The following is a 21,626-nucleotide window of genomic DNA, read 5'->3' as shown; positions in this document are numbered from 1 at the left end:
ATAAAAAAGTAAAATATACCTTTAATAAAAAGATTATAAGGAGGCATAAGAATGTGGATTTTTACCTACATTAAAAGGTTAAGAAAATTATTGTTTTAAAAGTTTAAGCAAGTTTTAAAAGGTTAATTGTAAAGAAAATTCTGTGTGTAAACATATTAGCTAAAGTTAAAAAGGTATCATCCAGTTTCTCTGTGAACTGGACATGAAAGTAAAAATGCAACAGGTTTTTTTTCTTAAAGCATCAACCTGCTCTTTAACAAAAATTATAAAAGGTTAAAAAGAGTCTATAAAATCTTACCTTATGGTCAAATATAAAAAATTGGATAAATATGTCTACAAGGTTTTATTAAAATTAAGTTTAATATTAATAACACACTAATATAATGGTAAAATTTAGCTTATCTGGTATAAAAATCATACAAGAAACATTATTAAATATAAAATGGTGTTTAGCTTTCTTTGGTCTAAAAACTAATAAAAATTGGTACAAAAGAAAACATTCATTTTACTAGAGGATCATAAAAGTTAAAGACTTAAAACAAACTTTGGCAATTAAGACAGCATACCAAGATGCAAATGCCTAGTTGAAATGGATCAAATATTCCATCTGCACATTAAACAAAAGCAATTGTTATGCTTGTGCACATGGCAGGCCAGAGGCCCTTATTGTCCCCCTTCCACTAAGGTGGTCCTCCAGTCCACCAGGCGTGGGCTGCATAGTAGCTCTTTTGCAGGATTCTACAGCCTGGAGTAACAAGTCATGCCAAGCTCTCTCTGCTATATCCCGAAGTCTGGCACCCTGCGGGTCAGCCCCCGAGGGCCGTCCAGCTTCCGTCTCCCAACACTAAGTTCACTTCGTGTCTCTCACGGTAGGGAGGAGACTTAGATTCCTTGGAGACCTGAAGGGATGCAGTGAGCTTAAGAATTTTCAAGAGCTTATCAGTCAGCCCTTGTTCATCCCCGAGTGGATGTGTGGTGGTATTGTGGTGGACCTTTACTGGGCACTCTGCTGAATAACTAGAGTGGCACTTGTGCTTTAGTCCATTTGGCTATCCCTTTCACCCTGGCATTTCATCAATCAGAGGAAGGAAAAAAATAATAAAAATAATAAGACATAGTAAAGCGAGAGAAGCCCCTTATGGGTCTTTCAACTCTCACATCTATTTAGATGCAATTGAAGCCCCGCAAGGAATACCAGATCAATTTAAAGCTTAAAATCAAATAGTTAGAAGATTTAAGTCAATATTTTGGTAGATGACAGTCAATAAAAATGTAGATTAGATAAACTACATCTATTACAACCAACAGCAACAAGCTTTTCATGAGTTTAAAAAAAAAAAACAAACTCATGTCGGCCCCAGCCCTGAGGCTACCTGACCTGACAAAACTCTTTACACTCTATGTGTCAGAAAGAAAACAAATGGCAGTTAGAGTTAACCTAGACTGCAGGGCCCTGGCCAAGGCCAGTGGCCTATCTCTCAAAACAACTAGACAGGGTTTCCAAAGGCTGGCCCCCATGTCCAAGGGCCCTGGCAGCAATGGCCCTGTTAGCACAAGAAGCAAATAAGCTAACTCTTAGGCAAAACCTAAACATAAAGTCTCCCCATGCTGTGGTGATTTTAATAAATACCAAAGGACATCATTAGCTAATAAATGCTAGACTAACTAGATACCAAAGCTTGCTCTGTGAAAATCCCCGCATAACCATTAAAGTTTGCAACACCCTAACCCCGCCACCTTACTCCTGGTATCAGAGAGCTCAGTTAAACATAACTGTGTAAAAGTATTGGACTCAGTTTATTCTAGTGGGCCCAACCACCGAGACCATCAGTAGACTGGGAGCTGCACGTGGATAGGAGCAGCTTCGCCAACCCCTGCAAAGTGACTCTGAAGAAGACGACAAGCCCTGCTCCAGTCACACCTGGAAGCTAACTGGTCCACACACGGCCGAAACATGAGGAAACTCATCACAGGACTCATTTTCCTTAAAATTTGGACTTGTATAGTAAGGACTTCAACTGACCTTCCTCAGACTGAGAACTGTTTCCAGTATATTCATCAAGTCACTGAGGTAGGACAAAAGATTGCTACAGTCCTATTATTTTATGGTTATTATAAGTGTACCAGGACTCTAAAAGAAACTTGTTTGTATAATGCTATCCTACCAAGGTATGTAGCCCAGGAAATAACCAACCTGATGCATGTTATGACCCATTTTAAGCATCCCATAATCACAGTTTTTAAAATGAAATTAAGGAGTGGTCCTTTTCTAGGTGACACAAGTAAGGTAATAGCTAGAACATAAAAAAAGAGGGGTCCCCAAAAATGTAACCTTAAAATTTGATGCTTGTGCTGCTACTGATAGTAAGCAGCATGGGAGAGGATGCAGTTCTCTAGATTAGAAAAAAAAAGGTACACCATAAAAAAATAAGTATATCTGTCAAAAATCATATTTATGTGAGATGTGTCAATACTGGTCTTGTGTCATTTGGACTACTTAAAAGGAAAATAAAAAAGATCCTGTTTGACTCCAAAAAGGAAAAGTCAGCCCCTCCTGCATGAATGGGAGCTGCAACCTTTTAGAATTGATCATCACAAACCCCTCAGACCCAAAGTAAAATAAAAGAAAAATATGTATCATTAGACATTGATGGAAAGGGACTAGATCCTAGGGTGTAAGCATCCTAATAAAAGGAGACGTTCAAAAACGTTCTCCAGAACAAGTATTTCAGACTTTCTATGAGGAACTAAATGTGCCAGTACCTGAAATTCCAGGAAAAACTAAAAATTTGTTTTTGCAATTAGCCGAACATGTAACCCAATCTCTGCAAGTCACCTCATTTTATGTTTGTGGAGAAACCATTAACAGGAAATCAATGGCCATGGGAAGCCCAAGAATTAGTTCCTACAGACCCAGTTCCTGATAAATTCCCAGCCCAAAAGAATCACCCTGATCATCTCTACGTTCTAAAAGTCTCAATTATTAGACAGTATTGCATAGCTAAAGAAGGAAAAAGATTCACTCATCCTGTAGGGTGGCTTAGTTGTCTTGGGCAAAAGCTGTATAATGGTACCACAAAAACAGTTACCTGATGGAGTTCCAATTATACAGAAATAAATCCATTCAGTAAATTTTCAAAGTTGCAGACTGTTTGGGCCCATCCAGAATTCCACCGGGACTGGATGGCCCCACCGGGTTATACTGGATATGTGGACAGAAAGCTTATGCTAAGCTTCCTGATCAGTGGACAGGTAGCTGTGTAATTGGCACCATTAAGCCATCTTTCTTCTTACTGCCCATGAAAACAGGTGAACTTCTGGGCTTCCCAATCTATGCTTCCCAGAAAAAAAAAAAAAAACAAAAATACCAAAACGAAGCATAGCCATAGGTAATTAAAAAGATAATAAATGGCCCCTTGAAAAAAGTCATATAATACTATGGACCTACCACTTGGACACAAGATGGCTCATGGAGATATCGGACCCCCATCTACATGCTCAACTGAATCATACAATTACAAGCTGTTTTAGAAATTATTACTAATAAAACCAGTCAAGCCTTGACTGTTCTTACCCGGCAAGAGACTCAGATGAGAAATGCTATCTATCAAACTAGACTAGCTCTTGACTACTTGCTAGCAGCTGAAGGAGGAGTTTGCGAAAAGTTTAACCTTACTAATTACTGTCTACACATAGATAATCAAAGGCAAGTAGTTAAAGACATAGTTAAAAATATGACACAACTGGCACATGTTTCCGTGCAAGTGCAGCATGGATTCAACCCTGAAGCCATGTTTAGAAGGTGGTTCCCAGCACTAGAAAAATTTAAAACTCTTATAATAGGAATTATAATAATAAAAACCTGCTAACTGGTCCCTTGTTTGCTACCTGTACTTCTTCAAATGATAAAAAGCTTCATCGCTACCTTAGTTCACCAAAATGCTTCAGCACAAGTGTACTATATGAATCACTATTAATCTATTGCACAAAAAGACATAAGTAAAAATAAGAGTGAGAACTCCCACTAATAAAAAGTGAGAATCTCAAAAGGGGGGAATGAAGGAAGAGAAAGACCCTCTCATATTATTTTATATTCAGTACCTGTTTTAAGAAAAAACAACAAGGAAGTAAAACCAAAGACAGGCAGCCCGGCGCCAGGCCCGAAACCAGGCCTGGGCCCGCCTGGCCTAAACCCAGTAGTTAAAAATCAACTTATGATTTAGAAGCCGATGTTATTCATAGATTCCTAACACTGTATAGAAGAACACTGTGAAACTCCCTGCCCTGTTCTGTTCCTCCCTGACCACTGGTGCATGCAGCCCCTGTCACGTACCGCCTGCTTGCTCAAATCAATCATGACCCTTTCATGTGAAATCTTTAGTGTTGTGAGCCCTTAAAAGGGACGGAAATTGTGCACTCGGGGAGCTCGGATTTTAAGGCAGTAGCTTGCCGATGCTCCCAGCTGAATAAAGCCGTTCCTTCTACTACTCGGTGACTGAGAGGTTTTGTCTGCGGCTCGTCCTGCTACAGTGCCACTGCACTCCAGCATGGCGACAGAGCAAGACTCCATCTCAAAAAAAAAAAAAAAAGAAAGAAAGAAAAAAAAGTAATTGCACTATGATGTTATAATGGCTACAACATCACTAGGTGATTTTTCAGCGTCATGATAATCTTACGGGACTACTTGGTCACATAAATTGTTCTTCATTGACTTAAACATCCTTATGTGGTACATGACTGTAAGTATAATGATTTACTTGAGTTGATTTGCAGGGTAATGAAAAAAGATTAAAAACTTTTAAATGGAAATTAAATGATAGAATGATTGATTGACAGTCATGAAATTGACCTGACAAGACTCGTGGTGGAGTCGTTATACACCATTTACCTTATTAAAAATGGTGAATTTTCATCATCCTAAGGTGACCACATCAGCTTGATCATTTCTTTCCCATGAAGTCCCAACTCCCATATTTGCCATCTGCTTGACCTGGGACATAGAATTAAATGCCAGTAATGGCTGGGCATGGTGGCTTTTGCTTGTAATCCCAGAGATTTGGGAAGAAGAGGTAGGACGATTGCTTGAGGTCAGAAATTTGAGACTAGCCTAGGCAACATAGTGAGACCCGGACTCTACAAAAATAAAAAATAAAAATAAAATTAGGCCAGGTGTGGTGGCTCATGCCTGTAATACCAGCACTTTGGGAGGCCAAGGCTGGCAGATCACCTGAGGTCAGGAGTTCAAGACCAGCCTAGTATTGAAACCCCGTCTCTACTGAAAATACAAAAATTAGCCAGGCATGGTGGCAGGCACCTGTAATCCCAGCTACTGGGGAGGCTGAGGCAGGAGAATCTCTTGAACTCAGGAGGCGGAGGTTGCAGTGAGCTGACTTCATGCCACTGCACTCCAGCCTGGGTGACAGAGTGAGACCTTGTCTAAAAAAAAAAAATTGGCCAGTTGTGGTGGCCCAGGCCTGTAGTCCTGGCTACTGGGGAGGCTGACTCAGGAGGATGGCTTAAGCCCAGGAGTTGCAGGCCACAGTGAGCTATGATTGTGCCACTGAATTCTAACATGGGCCACAGAGTGAGACCCTCCCTGTCTCTGAAAAAATAATAGATAGATAAATAAATAAATGCCAGTAATTCCAAAGAGTCGTCAGTGCAATTAAAACAGCCTTTGTGAGGCTTCCCCATGGGACTAATGGCTCCAAAGACGCTGTTGTAATTGGTATGCCTAGGGCATAGCACAGTAGCTTGTTAATTTATAAAAATGTCATAGCTACCCTGTAACTATCCAAATCACGATAGACTTTGAGCCCCTGGAATGCAGCTTCCTTAAATAGCCTTGGCTGGTTTTTGCAGGTGGCTTGGGATGCTATGTGGGATGTGCTCTGGAATGAGTCAATCACCCTTCTTTGGCCTCCTGCTGGCAGGCACTATGCTGCCCCTGAAGCCGCTGGCCCTCTGGAGATCAGGGGACCACCCCACACAGCCAACACCTGCTCGCGTCCACCGCCACCACCCATGCTGGTCCTGGTGGTGGTGGAGAGGTTAATCTTTCCTTTGCATAAAAAAAGACAGGTATTTTCTAATTCCACATAAAACTTATAGATGACTGTGCATTTTTTGACATTTTATTGACAATTTGGTGATGACATAAGAGAAATACAATGGAGAGTGAAAGTTAGAATTGCTTTTACATTCTCTGCTCTCAAGATCTAGGCTGTCTTCATCTTCACCCCCTGCCCCCCAAACTTCCTGGCTCCCAATCTTCTTCCGTAAGGCAGTGGCCATCCTGTGCCCACCTCCCAGAGATCTCTGAGCCTGTGTCACTGATGCCGTGACAGTTAACTTAAAAATCACACCATTTATAAATTTGAAAAGGAGACTCTATTTTTTATAAAGGGTTACAGCCTGCAAGGGGGTCTTCCAGATAGGTTGGGGAGCTGGTCTCCAATGGAGGCAGAGACTGTTATCGAGAGCTTTGAGGGAGGAACTGGTAAGACAGGAATTTAAGCTGAACAGGTTGGACAAGTATACATATTTAACAGGTTACACCAGGAGCTACGAATATTCAAGAAGGTGGTCTTGACCCACGTGTACCGAACATGCATGTCACATATGCCCCATGTTCACTTTGGGGTGGACACTTAACATTTAAATGCGCTAGAATTAGGCCCTATACGTCAAAGCGGGAAGCAGGGACGTGAAGGCATTCTGTGCACAGCCTTTGTAAACTGGCCAGAACCAGTGCATGGTCTGTGGGCTCTTATCAGGAGAAAGTTACTGAAATCAGTCTCTTGTTCAATCAAAGCTGCGATAACGGCTGGTAGAACAGGGGGTCAGCTAGTCAGCTGCTGGCTGTGGACGAGCTGCAAGTCGTTTCAATATTGCTTATGTCCAGGCCAGTGCTTGTTTATCTGCTAGAGGAAAAGAAAACTCTTGTGGCAGTTAGAACAGAGCTTCTTCTTTAAGAGTAGGGGGTAGCTTAACCCCTGCCTGCCCTGGCCTTAGCTCCTGATTGTAATTTGGTATCTTATTGCCACAAAGAGCTCCTTCCGTCAGTCTTTTATCATCTCTGCTTTAACATGGATGCTGGCCAGTTGCGTCTAAACTGCAAGGGAGGAGTATAACCAGGTGTGTCTGACTTGATTCCCATCCTGGCTAGGAACTCAGTTTTTAAGGTTTCTCTGGGGTTCCCTTGGCCAAGAGAGAGTCCGTTCAATTGGTTGGGGGGCTTTGGATTTTATTTTTAGTTTATGGAACCTTTTTCTCCTTTCCCTTCCCTCTCTTCCCTTCCCTTCCCTCTCTCTTTCTCTCTCTCTCTCTCTTTCTTTCTCTCTTTCTCTCCTTTCTTTCTTTCCTTTTGACGGATTCTCGCTCTGTCACTCAGGCTGGAGTGCAATGGTGCAACCTCGGCTCACTGCAACCTCCGCCTCCCAGGTTCAAGCGATTCTCCTGCCTCAGCCTCCCAAGTTGCTGGGATTACAGGCACCTGACACCACACCGAGCTAATTTTTTGTATTTTTAGTAGAGACAGGATTCCACCGTGTTGGCCAGGGTGGTCTTGAACTGCTGACCTCAGGTGATCTACCCACCTTGGTCTCTCAAAGTGCTAGGATTACAGGTGTGAGCCACCACCGCTGACCTATAGAACCCTTTTCGTAGGACTTTTCCATTCCTGCTGGGAGAGTGGCTATTAAAACTCTCTGCAAGTTCTGTAGGCCTTGCCCTAGGGCAGTGGCTCTCAAACTTCATTTTGTATCATTTCCTGGAGGCTTTGTTAAATCACAGGTTACTCTTTGACCCACCCTCAGAGTTCCTGATTCAGAAGGTCTGGAATGGCACACAAGAATGCACATTTCTAACAAGTTCCTGAGAGACTCAGACCAGTGCAGTGACCACAGACTGGCCTCAGCTCAAGAGAGCTACTCTCCCAAGGTTCTGCCCTTCCCTGGGGCAGCCCACATCCAAAGACTGCTTCAGGCAGGGGTATAAGGCCTGGTCCCTGCTCCACAATTGGGAGTGACACTGAAGGGCATTCCAGCTCCAGGGCATGGCATGAGATCCGCGGAGTCTACCTTGTGATGACTGCAAGTTTGTCTACTTCTCCCTCTGCTGGGTCCTGCTTCCTGTACACACTTATGGCTGTTGATCTGAGAGTCCATCTCAATAAAACGCCAGTCTATACATCTTCATTTCAGAGTCACTTGGGGGTGGGGAAGGGGGCTGACAGCCCACCGGCCCCTTGGGAGCCAGACCCAGGGAGAAGAACAATGTTCAAAGCCCACTTCCCAAACCACAACTTCCTGTGCCAGGATTGGTGGCTCCGTGGGGTGGCCGCTGGTGGGATTGTCTTCTCTCAGGCCTTCACAAGGCAATTTCTCAAGAACATAGAATTCTACCTTGATTCCATCCTAGGTTGCTAAGTCTTAAATCACAGAGACATGAGGACATCAGCAAGCCAAACCAGTGTATTTTCACAGGCATTTTTCCAAGAGAAGGGATGGGGGTGATGCTTGTAGCTTCAGGCCATGCCTGCATTCAGCTCCTTTGCTCCTGGGAACAATTCACTGAACCCCACAAGAACAAGCAACACTGATTTCGCATAAAACCAATATAACTTCTCCTTCACTCCCAATGTTACAAAACCCAAATGGGGTCCTCTGGCCTGGAGTGATAAAGTCAAACATCCACACTGAGGCTTGCAGCAGGAGAAAGGAGGGCATTAATGTGCAGAGCGCCAATCAAGGAGAATTGGGCAGCTCATGCTTAAGACTCGACCTCCCCAGTGCCTTACAGGTAGGGGTTTTTAAAGACAGCATAAATTTTATGCTGTGTGTGGTGGCTCACGACTGTAACCCTAGCACTTTGGGAAGCCGAGGAGGGGGGATCACCTGAGGTCAGGACTTCAAGACCAACCCGACCAAAATGGCGAAACCCCATCTCTACTGAATTAGCTGGGTGTGGTGGCACATGCCTGTAATCCCAGCTACTCTGGAGGCTGAGGCAGGAGAATCACTTGAACTTGGCGGGTGGAGGTTGCAGTGAGCCGAGATCATGACACTGCACTCCAGCCTGGGTGACAAAGTGAAACTCCATCTCAAAAAAAAAAAAATAGGAAAGCAGAAGTTATAGGCAAAAGCATAAATCAACACATGGAGGCTACACACTGGTTGGGCCTAAAAAGGCGGGATATCTTGAAGCAGCAGCTTACAGATCACAGGTAGACTAAAAAATTTTCTGATTTGCAATTGGTTAGAAAGAGGAGCTTTGTTTAAAGACTTGGGGTCAGCAGAAAGGAATGTTAGCTCTGGCCCGTAGTTGTGACTTCCTCCCGGCCCCTCCGGAAGAAACTTAGAGCAAAGAACTTCAATCAGAGCTCAGTTCTCAGTTTCCCAACATCTGAGGTCTGCATGCCAGCAGAACCACTTGGTGGAGGATCTGAGTTTCTGAAAAACAACACAGGGACATATGTTAACATGTTATTATTAGCTCCTATAGGGAGGTGGGGGGCAAGGGGAGGGAGAGCATCAGGACAAATAGCTAATGCATGCGGGGTTTAATGCCTAGGTGATGGGTTGATAGATGCAGCAAACCACCATGGCACACCTATGTAACAAGCCTGCCCGGAACTTAAAGTAAATAAATTTTAAAAAGAAATTACCAGGCATACCAAGAGAAATAGAAAGAGCCAATATAAACATGCACGAGAATGTTTATAGCAGCACTATTCATAATAGAAAATGGAAACAACTCAAAAGTCTCTCAACAGTAGAATGGATAAATATTGGTGTGTGTATACATTGGAATCAATGCAGCAATGAAATAAATGGACTACTGTTTACGTGCAACAAGTGTGCATTAAATTCACCAACATAATGTTGAATGAAACCAGACACAAAAGATTATATAATATATACATATATATAAAGTTCAGAAGAAGAAAAAAACCAATCGATGGTGATAGATATCAGAATAGTGGTTAGCTTTGAGGAGGAACAGGGGAGGGAGTGAGAGGGTGCCCATAGGCAGCTTCTGGAGAACTGGTGATATTCTATTCATTGTCTGGGTAGTGATTACACAAATGTGCATATTTTGTAAAATTTCATTAATCCATACATTTATGATTTGTGTACTTTTCATTTTGCATGTTATGCTTCAGTTAAAAACTTTGCTTAAAAACCTGAAAAAAAAAAAACTAGTCTTCCTTCTTTCTGTATCAAGACAGCATTTTTTTTCTGAGCATCTCATTGACCTCTAGAATGGCTTATATTATTTATCAGCAAAATAATGAGCCATGCACATTAGCTATTAGAGTGCTAAAAATGTGGAATGTATTATCTAAAATGCAATTTTCTAGACTAAGAGTCCCATCAAGGTTTATAGACTGCATCTTAGTCCATTTGAGAGGTTATAACAAAATACCTTACAATGAGTTTTATAAGCAACAGAATTTATTGCTTACAGTTCTGGAGGCTGGGATTTCAAGATCAAAGCATCAGCAGATTTGGCGTCTGGCGAGGCCTCATTCCTCCTAGATTCACCTTCAATGTGTCCTCACACAAAGGACAGGCAAAGGAGCTAACAAGCTCCCTCAGGCTTCTTTTATAAGGGTGCTAATCTCATTTATGAAGTCTCTGCCCTCATGACTTAATCACCTCCCCTAAGCCTCATCTCTTAATACCACACTGCAGACTATGTTTCAGTATATGAATTTGGGGGAACACATTCAGACCATAGAGACTGAAATGTAGAGCCTACTGTCATTCTTGTTTTTCTACCCTTCAGTATGAAAAGCATTTTTTTTCCAGCAGCTATTTCTATTATTCAAGGTCACTCTCACACAGTCATGAAATAGCTGAACTTGGTTTCAGGGTCAACTGATCCATCATCTAGGTTTTGGTGTGAAAGGCTCTTTTCTTTTCCTGGTAGAATCAAAGAGCTGGGAAGGTTGAGAGAGCAAGGAAGGGTGAGAGGAGAGAGAGACAGAGACAGAGACAGAGAGAGGAACAATAGTGGCACATGATTTGGATTGCAATGTGGGTGTTTTCAACTAATGTACACTCGCTGGCTGCTGTTGTTTTATATTTTGTCCCACTGGGGAAAATTATCTTGAGGTGGAATTGTGTGGTTTGGCACAACTTATTTGTTACAAGTCTGAAAGTCAATGTACCCAATGTGTTTAGTTTCCTATTGGAACACCCCAAAATGTTGAAATAGGAATACCAAATAGCCTGTTGGATTAAGCAAAGATTCAGAGACATAATTAGATTTTGGCCTCTTCGATTCTTCTTTGGACTATATTGGACTTGGAATATTAAAATATCTTACTACTTTTAAGATTTACAATGTAATAGTTTCTCCAGGGCCTTGGTAGGATTCCTGCCACTTCGAGTATAGCCATATCTCAAAGGAAGAGTGTTTATTTCCTTTGTCTGCATAAACTTTCAGCAGAATGGGCTGCAATCCAGCAGAAAAATCTCTAACTTGAGAGTTGGAAGCTGGGACTCTTAGCTCTGTCTCCAACAAACCTACTGACCTAGGACAAGTGACTTCCCACCTCTGAACCTGAATGCCTTCATCTCTAAAATGAGGGGATTGAACCTTCGATCTCTAAGGTCCCATTCACTTTGAAGACTTTTTGGTGAAAGACCTGGCAAAATATTTTGTTTATTTTCAAAGGTGAAGAAATGTTTTCTGAAATGTCCACATTCAGACACACAGACCCTCGATGTCATTATAAATGCTGTTAGCAGGCCAGGGTGCATCACTAAAGAAGAGTACGTCTGACCAGGCGCGTTGGCTCTGCCTATAATCCCAGCACTTTGGGAGGCTGAGGTCAGGAGTTCAAGACCAGTCTGGCCAACATGGTGAAACCCTGTCTCTACTAAAAATACAAAAATTAGCAGGCGTGGTGGGGCAAGAGAATCGCTTGATCCCACAGGTGGAGGTTGCAGTGAGCCGAGATCATGCCACTGCGCTCCAGCCTGGGTGACAGAGTGAGACTTTGTCTCAAAACAAACAAACAAAAAATCAAAACCAAAAACAAGAAGAGTCATCTGCTTTGTAATCGATCATGAAATTTCAACACTTGGTATTGATTACTTTGCTAGGACTGCTGCAACAAGTACTGCGAACTAGGCGGCTCAAGCCACAGATAATTATTTTCTCCCAGTTCTGGAGGCTAGAAGTCTGAGACCACAGTGTTGGTACTGCTGCTTTCCTCTGAAGGCTATGAGAGAGGATCTGTTCCATGCCTCCTGACTGTCTTCTAGTGTTTTGCAGGGAATGAAGGCTCATTGCTTGAAGAATCATGGTCCCAGTGGTACTGTGTGTGTGTGTGTGTGTGTGTGTGTGTGTGTGTGTTTTCAAATTTCCCCTTTTTATATGAACACCAATTATATTAGATTAGGGGCCCATCATACACAAGTATGACCTCATTTTAACGAATACATCTGCAACAAACCTATTTCCAAATAACATCACATTCTGAGGTACTAGGGGTGAGGACTTTATATGTAAATTTGTGAGGAACGTAATTCAACCCATAACACTAGGAAATGAAATAAACTCTGGAAAGCTGAGGTTCCAGATAGGATGAAAGTTTAAGGTTTTGAACCAAATTTGGTGCACAATTTTGCAATGGGCTTCCAAGATTGGCTCAGGCGTGTGTTGTTCAACCCTCAATCATCCCTTGATTCATACTTGCAAACAGGAGTCAGGGGCTATAGTCTCCCTTTCCCATTTCTGCAGTCAGTCATTCCTCCTGAGAGGACAAAAGACACTCAGGCGATCAATTTCTCAGCTCCCTCCCCATCCAACCACCATCCAACCAGCAGCTTCTGCCTCAGCCTTGAATGCATCGTCTCCGATTTTAAAACTGAGGATGTCTCTGTAAATACGTTTAACCATAACGAAATAAAAAAAAATGACATTGATGTGCCTAGCACTCAAGGAGGACACAAAACAACCCCCTGTTCTTAATGAGCTTATAATCTAGTTGGAGAGCCTAGAGCTTCACCTGTTAAGAAAAAATTTAACAATGTAAAGCAGGCCAATAGGCCCTTAACATAAAACCTTAGCAGATTCTCTCATTTAAGAAGAAGGTCAAGTGTGGTGGCTCATGTCTGTAATCCCAGCACTTTGGAAGGCTGAGGCAGGCAGATTGCTTGAGGCTAGGGGTTGGAGACCAGCCTGGGCCACATGGTGAAACCCCATCTCTACAAAAAAAAAATACAAAAATTAGCCAAGCATGGTGGTGTGTGCCTGTAGTCCCAGCTACTTGGGAGGCTGCGGCTGGAGGATTGCTTGAGCTGGGGAGGCAGAGGTTGCAGTGAGCTGAGAGGAGCCACTGAGCCACTGCACTCCAGCCTGAGCAACAGAGTGAGATCTTGTCCCAGAAAAAAAAAAAAAAAAAGAATAAAACCTTAGCATGTGCTCTCTTCCATGAACTTTCTGTTTCCAGGTATCATTTCTTAGCTTTTCTCAGTTCTGAGCCAGTTCCAGAGCATCTGGGCCAGTTCCAGAGCAGCAGTGGCAGTTGGCTTTCTTTTGGGCATCATATTTTTCCTATTATACTTTACTAATCCATTAGTAGTGAAAACCACATGCCACTCTTCCATGCTTGCACACACACCCAAACTCTGTAGAACTGCCGAGTGGCCCATTTCTCCGATTCTTACATTATTCTACAAAATATATTCATGGCAGGCTTAAAGTGCACTGTATGTCTTGAATTACATGTCGACTTGGAAAGTTGATATATGTGCTTTTACTGTGTGTGGTGTCCACAAGAACAGAAGCAGGAGCAACAGTGGTATATAGGTTTTGTGGTACTTTTTATTGAAATGTAATATACATACGGAAATGAGCACACATCGTAGTCTCAATGAATTTTCACAAACTGAACACATCCATAAAACCAGAACCCAGAGCAAGAAATACAATGTTACCAGTTCTCTTTTGTGTTATCTCCCAGGCACTAATCCTAAGTGGGGTAATCATTATCCTGTCTGTTTGTGTACTTTATAGAAATGGAATCATGCAGTGTATACCAGACTTTTAATGTCTGGTTTCTTTTCCTCCATAGTATGGCTGTCATATTCATCCATATTTTTGTGAGTACGTGATTCTTTCTCACTGTTGTACAGTATAGGTTGAACATCCCAAATCTGAAAATCTGAAGTCCAAAATGCTGCAAAATCTGAAACTTGTTGAGCACCCACATGATGCTGAAAGGAAATGCTCATTGGAGCATTTAGATTGAGATTGAGATTTCAGATTTTTGGATTTGGCATGTTCCACCAGTGAGTTTAATGCAACTATTCCAAGACCTGAAAAATTAAAAATCTGAAACATTTCTGGTCCCAAGCACTTGGATAAGGGATACTCAACCTGTATTCCATTGTGTGAATATCGCGTAATGTATTCATTCATGCTACCATTGCCGTGCACCTGGGTAATTTTCAGTTTTTAGCTCCAATGAACAGCACTCCTAAAAAAATTCAGGTAAGTGTTTATTAGTGAACACATTTCTGTTGGGCATGAAAACCCAGAGTGGAGTTGCTGAGTCGAAGGGTATGTATATGTTAGCTTTAGTAATAATTTCCAAACCATTTTCCTAAGGGTTTGTACCAATTAGCACTCTAATGAATAGTGTGGGAGTGTTCAAGTTGTTACATATTCTTGCCAATATTTGGCAATTTTAATTTAAATTTTAGCCATTTTGGTAGTGTGGAATTGCATCTCTATGATTTCAATGTGCATTTCCTTGATTACAAACAAAATTGAGCATTTTTAATATGTTTACTAGCCATTTGAATATTACTCTCATTTATGAAGTGGCATTTCAAGCATTTTGTCCATTTTCTACTGGGCTGACTTTTTTTTTAACTTCAATCAACAATGATTTTATTTGATCTTATTCATCAGTTCCTTTTTTTGTCTTCCAATTTTTATTTTAAGTTCAGGGGTACGTGTGCAGGTAAATGTGTGCCATGGTGGTTTACTACACAGATCATCCCATCATCCAGGTATTAAGCCCTGCATCAATTGGTTATTCTTCCTGATGCTCTCCCTTCCTGCCCCTACAGATGCCCAGTGTGTGTTTTTCCCCACCACAGGTCCATGTGTTCTCATCAATCAGCTCCTACTTATAAGTGAGATCATGCAGTGTTTGGTTTTCTGTTCCTGCATTAGTTTGCTGAGAATAATGGCTTCCGACTCCATCCATGTCCCTGCAACATGATCTCATTCCTTTTTTTGGCTGCATAGTATTCCATGATGTATATGTACCACATTTTCTTTATCCAGTCTATCACTGATAGGCATTTAGGTTGATTCCATGACTTTGCTATTGTAAATAGTGCTATATGTGTGCATGTATCTTTATACTAGAAGGATTGATTTATATTCCTTTGGGTATATACTGAGCTGACTTTTAGTAAATTGACTTGGCTAGGCATGGTGGCTCATGCCTGTTATTCCAGCACTTTGGGAGGCCAGGGCAGGGAGGATTGCTTGAGGCCAGGAGTTTGAGAACAGCCTGGGCAACATAGTGAGACCTCATTTTTATAAAAGCAATTAAAAATTAACTTGTTCATATATTTTGTGTATTTTTTTTCTGAGACAGAGTCTCACTCTGTTGCCCAGGCTGGAATGCAGTGGCATGATCTTGGCTCACTGCAAGCTCCACCTCCTGGGTTCAAGCGATTCTCCTGCCTCAGCCTCCTGAATAGCTGGGATTACAGGTGCCCACCACCACACCCAATTAATTTTTATACTTTTAGTAGAGATGGGGTTTCACCATGTTGGCCAGGCTGGTCTTAAACTCCTGCCTGGCTCTACTGCAGTGTAGACTTTGTCTTAAGCAGATCATCATGTGGCAAAGCGGTGATTCCACATGCACTCTGGCCTTCTTCTGAATGGCTGTCGGTGGAGCCTGAGACCTTGTGAAATCAATAATGTGGCCAAGGTCCAAGGCGAGGAAAGTGAAGGCTGCTGGCAAAGATGTCTTGGTGCAAACAGATGGGGTCTGAGCGTCCACCCTTCTCTTCCTGGGTTTGCATCCTGAAACTTCCTGTGGTGAGCTCCCCAGCTTTCGTATTATGGAAGTAGATTCCTCAGATATAAACAAGTCCTTGTCTGGAAAGAAGTCACTTAGTGGGCCTGAGAATGGAGCACAAGTAGACCCATCAGCACAGAGCCACTCTACAGACCAAGAACGACCTCGCAAGGCACCGCACGACCGGCACTTGGCTTCCTAGTAAAAGCAGGACCCTGCATGTTCCTCTACATCTTATACCATTTATGCTTAAGGGGTTATATTTTTTTTCTGGGGTCAGTTAAATCACTTTCTCTTCCCACTGTGGTAAACCCCAAAGAGCCTCCTGATAATTAATTTTTGTTTTATTGCTAGATTGCTCTGCTCTGCTAGAATGTAAATTCTATAAGAGCAGGGACCTTGTCTGTCATAGTCACTCAGTAACTATCACAGCTAGTGAAGAATGAATGAATGAATGAAAACTAGGCTAGCCTGATGAGTAGATAAGAAGGAAGCATTGCTATGAGGAAGAGCCACGGAACAAAGAAGGAATTGAAGGATGATATTGACGCTCTCACGGAAAATTTTCTGCTAGAGAACCCCTAGGAGCTCATCTCACCTGAGAAGAGCCTAGGATAAGATGATCAATGTCAGCAAAAGTTGTATGGAAATGGGACCCAGATGGTTTACTCTTTAAACTGTCACAGCAATAGCATCACATACTTTAGGGGATGTTGGTAGGATAGCAATCTGGGTAGAGTGATTGGAAAAGTGGGATATGATTTATTTTTCTTTGTTTTAGCCTGTCTGTGATGATTACCCTGACAATTGTCTCAGAAACTCTTAAAACTCTCTTATAGCATTTCTGACTGAACACAGAGAACTCATTTGGTCAATCTAAGAACCAGAGAGTTAAATTGGGAACCAAGCTTGATACCAATAAGATTGTTGGAATTCAGGAGAGGCTCATATTTTGAGCTATTCTGACAAAAATACACCAAAAATTCCCCTTAGCATTTTAGCTACTAGAACAAAAGTTAATTATCAGAAAGAATCTCTTGCATTGTGGTCCAGCTTCCCATTTAGAAACAAAACATCTATGAGATTAAATTTCCTTGGAAACTTTTTGTAAAGGAAAGCAAAATGGCTTTTCTCAGGCCAAATTTTGAAGTTAAATAGATACACACACACATATATATGTAATATGTGCATATATAATATGTAAACTATATATTTATAATATATGTAAGGACATATATAAACAAATATTATGTGTGTGTGTGTGTGTGTGTGTGTGTGTTTGGGAGAATTCTCCTGGCCCACAGTAGCAATTCCAGGGAGGGTGCTTTGTTGTAGCCTCAACTGTCCTATCGAATTCTTCTCTCTCTTTTATTTTTTTTTTTTTTTTTTTTTTGAGACAGGGTCTCACTTTGTTGCCTAGGCTAGAATGCAGTGGTGCCATCTCTGCTCACTGCAGTCTCCACCTCCGGGGTTCAAGTGATTCTCCTGCCTCAACTTCCTGAGTAGCTGGGATTAAAGTCATGTGTCATGTGCCACCACATGTGGCTAAGTTTTGCATTTTTAGTAGGCATGGGGTTTCACCATGTTGGCCAGGGCTGGTCTTGAACTCCTGACCTCAAGTGATCTGCCCACCTTGGCCTCTCAAAGTGTTGGGATTACAGGCGTGAGCCACTGCACCAGGACTCAAATTCCTTTTTAAGTGTGTGACAGGTGGCTGCAAGCTCCCATCTCTAAGAAAGTGGATCTTTCCCCATCCTAAGCTAAGACGGTAGTTTGCATTTGAAAAGATTGTTGAGTAGACCAGACTGAAGGAACATTCTAGACTCCTACCTCCTTTGTCTGCTAGGCCTTTTCCCCAGAAATTCTGCCTCCGCATTTATCCTAACTTGAATCATTGTCTGCAGACATGCAGCACCTTCCTTTAATAATCTTCCAAGTTAAATCCACTGCATCTTCTCCCTGTTAGTACCTGCACATTCAGGAGCACCTCCCATGTTGTGTGTTTGTCCCAGGCATGAGTAGGGCACTGGGAATACAGGTTATGGAAGACATGGCCCTGCCCTTTGGAAAATGTGCTCTGTGGAGGGATGGTCATGTAAACATGCAGTGTCACTGCAGTCAGTGCTAGGACAGAGGCAGACACACAGAGATCCTGGAGGAGGGGTCCTCATCCTCTCTTTATATTTTACAAACAAAGTTTGGTTTCCTTTGTTGGATCTTTCCCAGTTTTCTCACATCTGCCAGTTTCATTTTTTCCTGTTTTAGTTCACCCATAGGAAGGGAGGGGGTGCAGTTTACCAAGAGGCTGCGATGATGTGCTCATTTCCTTCTGTAACAGAGAAAGCAAGCTTTAGAGCTTCCCTACCTCATGGGGCCATCTGAGGAGCAGATGATTTATAGGAGGTCGCTTTCAGAAGCACATACAGACCCATTACGTTCAAAATCAATCCCACGGTTTCCGCTGTGAAACGCCATCCAGGGAAATCCATCGCATTCTAGCAGGAGCCCTTGGGAAATCCCACCGAGGAGGTGGCCATCCTCCTTCTGGGAACGTGGGTGTCCCAGCTGATGGAGGCCAAAGGCCCTGGGGAGATGCTCTCCAAGATTCATTTCCTTGTAAATCTGATTTTGTTTGGGAGCAAGTTCTTTTCTGGGTTTAGGGGGCTCTCTGCAGTGGCCCAGGATGAAGACTCTGGTGCCTGTGTGCACAGCTACCTTCTGTGTTGCCCATTATGGATCCCCACTGGACCCTTCTCTTAGCTCCCTGCCCCACTGTGCAGTTCTTGTCACCACATTCCTGATTTGTGGGGCTCTACTCTCATGTCCTCACGCCAGCATTGCCCTTAAGACATAAGCTGGTGCTATGTGACACCAGGGAGTAACAAGGGCTTCATCGTCAGCCCACCCAGGAGGAATGGAGTTCCTAAATGGGGACCTAGCAGTTGATTCTGTGAATTGAAATGTCCACCCCAACTGAGTTCGGCCTGAAAGTGATTACGAAATGTAATGACCGCTGTACTACTTGTCTAAGGTTTAGAGCTAATCTTCGGGAATCAGTTATTTGATCAGATGTTAAGCATTTTAAATATTCATATAGTTTTAACACAAACTGGTGTCAAGGCTGTTTTCACTTTCTGGACACTTCATTTTATCCAAAGTAGGATATCCTCCTACTGGGACTGGTTGCTATGCAGCGGGGACAATAGGATTCTTTACTCAGTGGCCATTTAGGGTTTAGCATTTACTTTTCTCAGGAGTTCAAACCCTGACTCCTGCATCCTGGGATCTTCTGAAAATTGAAGTTAATCCACAGCTTGACACAATAGGAGGTCATTAAATTCTTTTATAGTCGCACTCAGAAAGCACAGTGCTGTTTGCATTATTAATTCACAGGAACTTTTTTTTTTAAACCTGACAGATTAAAGCTTATTTCACAGTATTCAAAGCAAATCTCTTTCCCAAACTATGCTTGTTGGGCATATAAGTCTCGTTATAATCACATTAAGCTTATCTTAACATTCTTCAGGTGGGGAGGAACATGGAAACGCTGGAGGTCCGTCAGCATTTCTGGAATTTGAAAATGTCTTCCTGCCTGCTAAAACAAACAAACAAACAAACAAAATCAGAACAAATTAAGTAACGTATTTCTACTTGGGCACAGGTTTGGGCACCCTAGACTTGGTGGAGTGGTTGACACCCCAGTACTGCTAAGCTATCCAAGTTGCTTAGGGCAGAATGAACTTCTGATTTCTCTTGGTGACTTCTGCCCAGAGTTTCCAACATTTTTGAGCACATGGAACCCCTTTTAAAAGTAAAAATAAAAATGTGCACACATTCCATATGATCAAGCTGGACTCTTAATAGCTTTCGATGGGAAAATTGTGTACAAACATGGACTCTTGGACCTTTTGTAATAATTCTGTTGCTCACCAGGGTTTTTGGTTTTTTGGTTCGAAAATCTGGCGTGGGAGATCAGGCAACCAAGTGCCTACTAGTTTAACTAATTCCGTGTTGGTCACCAGGAGGGATTTCAAAGGAAGTCAGAGTCCGACTTCTTGGCCTGAGGAATGCACCCCCCACCTCCCCCAGGAGGGCAGGAGCTTAGACTTCGGTAGGGCTTCTTTGCACGGCTGAAGTTTTCTTCCCTTCTTTGAAAGCCCCGGGTCCTCCATGCAGCCTGTGGGTGGCATTGTTGGTGGGAAGTGAATGATACACATGCAAATGATTCATGTCCGGCGTGGGTGGCCCCTGAAGGCCTTTTGCCGAAGACTTGCAATTGTTTTAAAGCTTCATAAATGAGCCGGCACAGGGCTCTCTGGAGGCCAATCAGGAGATTACCCTTTCAGACCACTGCAAGCCAAGTCCTCATTACCTAGGGTGAAGTGGAGGTTAGGTCGCTCTGGCTCACTTCTCAGCAGTAGAGGAAATGATTGGTTTTTCAAATGTAGACCTTCCTGTGGCCTTTTGGAAGGCTCTTCCCAGTTAACGGAGCCAAAGTTACAAAGGGAAGACGTGTCCGCATCCAGCACAGGGAGGGATCGTGGAGGTGAAGGGGAAATGCCAAGTGCCCTTCTGCTTTTTCTCGTCATCTGATTACTCACATCTGCATCCTTTGGACACGCTCTCTTCTTCCTCTAGTGGTATTCATAAAAGGACACTAGCTTTCCTTGCGGTCAGGCCCACCTACGTGGGTCCCGGAGGCAACCTTGCTCTGGAGATACACGGGACAGTGAACAAGTGGGGGATGTGTTTGGAAACCTTCTCCATGGTCCTGCCAATTTTCAGGGTGCAGGAAGAAGAGAGTAATTCTACTGCTAAGACCTGTGTCAGATGTGGGGCCTGGACCCTGCAAAAGGAGCCTGGCGATGGGTCCCAGGGTGTGGCTGTCCAAGCCAAACAAAGACTCCAGGGTTGGACGGATCAGGCCCTGATGGGCTTTACTTCCCCAGGTCTAGCCTCTAACCCACAGGGCGGTGTTTGCAGCCCCGAGCATGCCTCATTATGTAAAACCAGCCATTCCCATCACACTCCAGCTTCCTGTTTTCAAGCGGCCACATAAGGGACCCTCTGTAGTCCATTTGTTTTACTAAGCAATATAATTCTGCTGTGTGGCTCCCAGAGTGGAAAGATAAAATTCAGTCAGGAACTGTCAGTTTTTTTCAAACCACAGGAAGTGGGACTGAAACACACACACACACACGCACACACACATCTCTTTCAAGTCGAGTTTAAGCATAATTTCAAGTCAATGATCAGAAAGATTTTATGAGTAAGTGTGGACAAGGGAAGGTGGGAACATCCCTTGCTCTGTAAGGTAAGAAAGGGACTTCCCAGGAAATCTAGTTAGCTAACTTTGAGCTTAAGAACAAATTTCTCAGAGACGTCGACTTCTGCAAGACAGCTCAGAGTCTGTTATTGCTAAGTGGGAAATTGAACATTTGGGAAAAAGAAAAAAATTAGCCTTGGCACCACACGTTGACTTTTTCTACCCAGGTTGTAGAAAAAGTCTTGGTGAACAAGTCAAAGATTACAAAGTAGAATGGAATTGGGGAAAATAAAA

General features: G+C 42.8%; 1 annotated feature.

The window, feature by feature from the left end:
• Positions 19,642-20,841: an enhancer, noted in NCBI's record as "P300/CBP strongly-dependent group 1 enhancer chr10:29633052-29634251 (GRCh37/hg19 assembly coordinates)". NCBI's record gives its function as "activates an origin of replication core promoter dependent on BRD2, BRD4, P300/CBP, MED14 and CDK7 cofactors, with strong dependence on P300/CBP, by STARR-seq in HCT116 cells {active_cell/tissue: HCT116}" and the evidence as "EXISTENCE:reporter gene assay evidence [ECO:0000049][PMID:35650434]".

The sequence above is a fragment of the Homo sapiens genome, chromosome 10 (genome assembly GCF_000001405.40).
Source record: "Homo sapiens chromosome 10, GRCh38.p14 Primary Assembly".
In the NCBI taxonomy this organism is placed as follows: domain Eukaryota; kingdom Metazoa; phylum Chordata; class Mammalia; order Primates; family Hominidae; genus Homo; species Homo sapiens.
The sequence above is the reverse complement of the archived record's forward strand: the minus strand, read 5'-3'. Positions and strand labels throughout refer to the sequence as shown.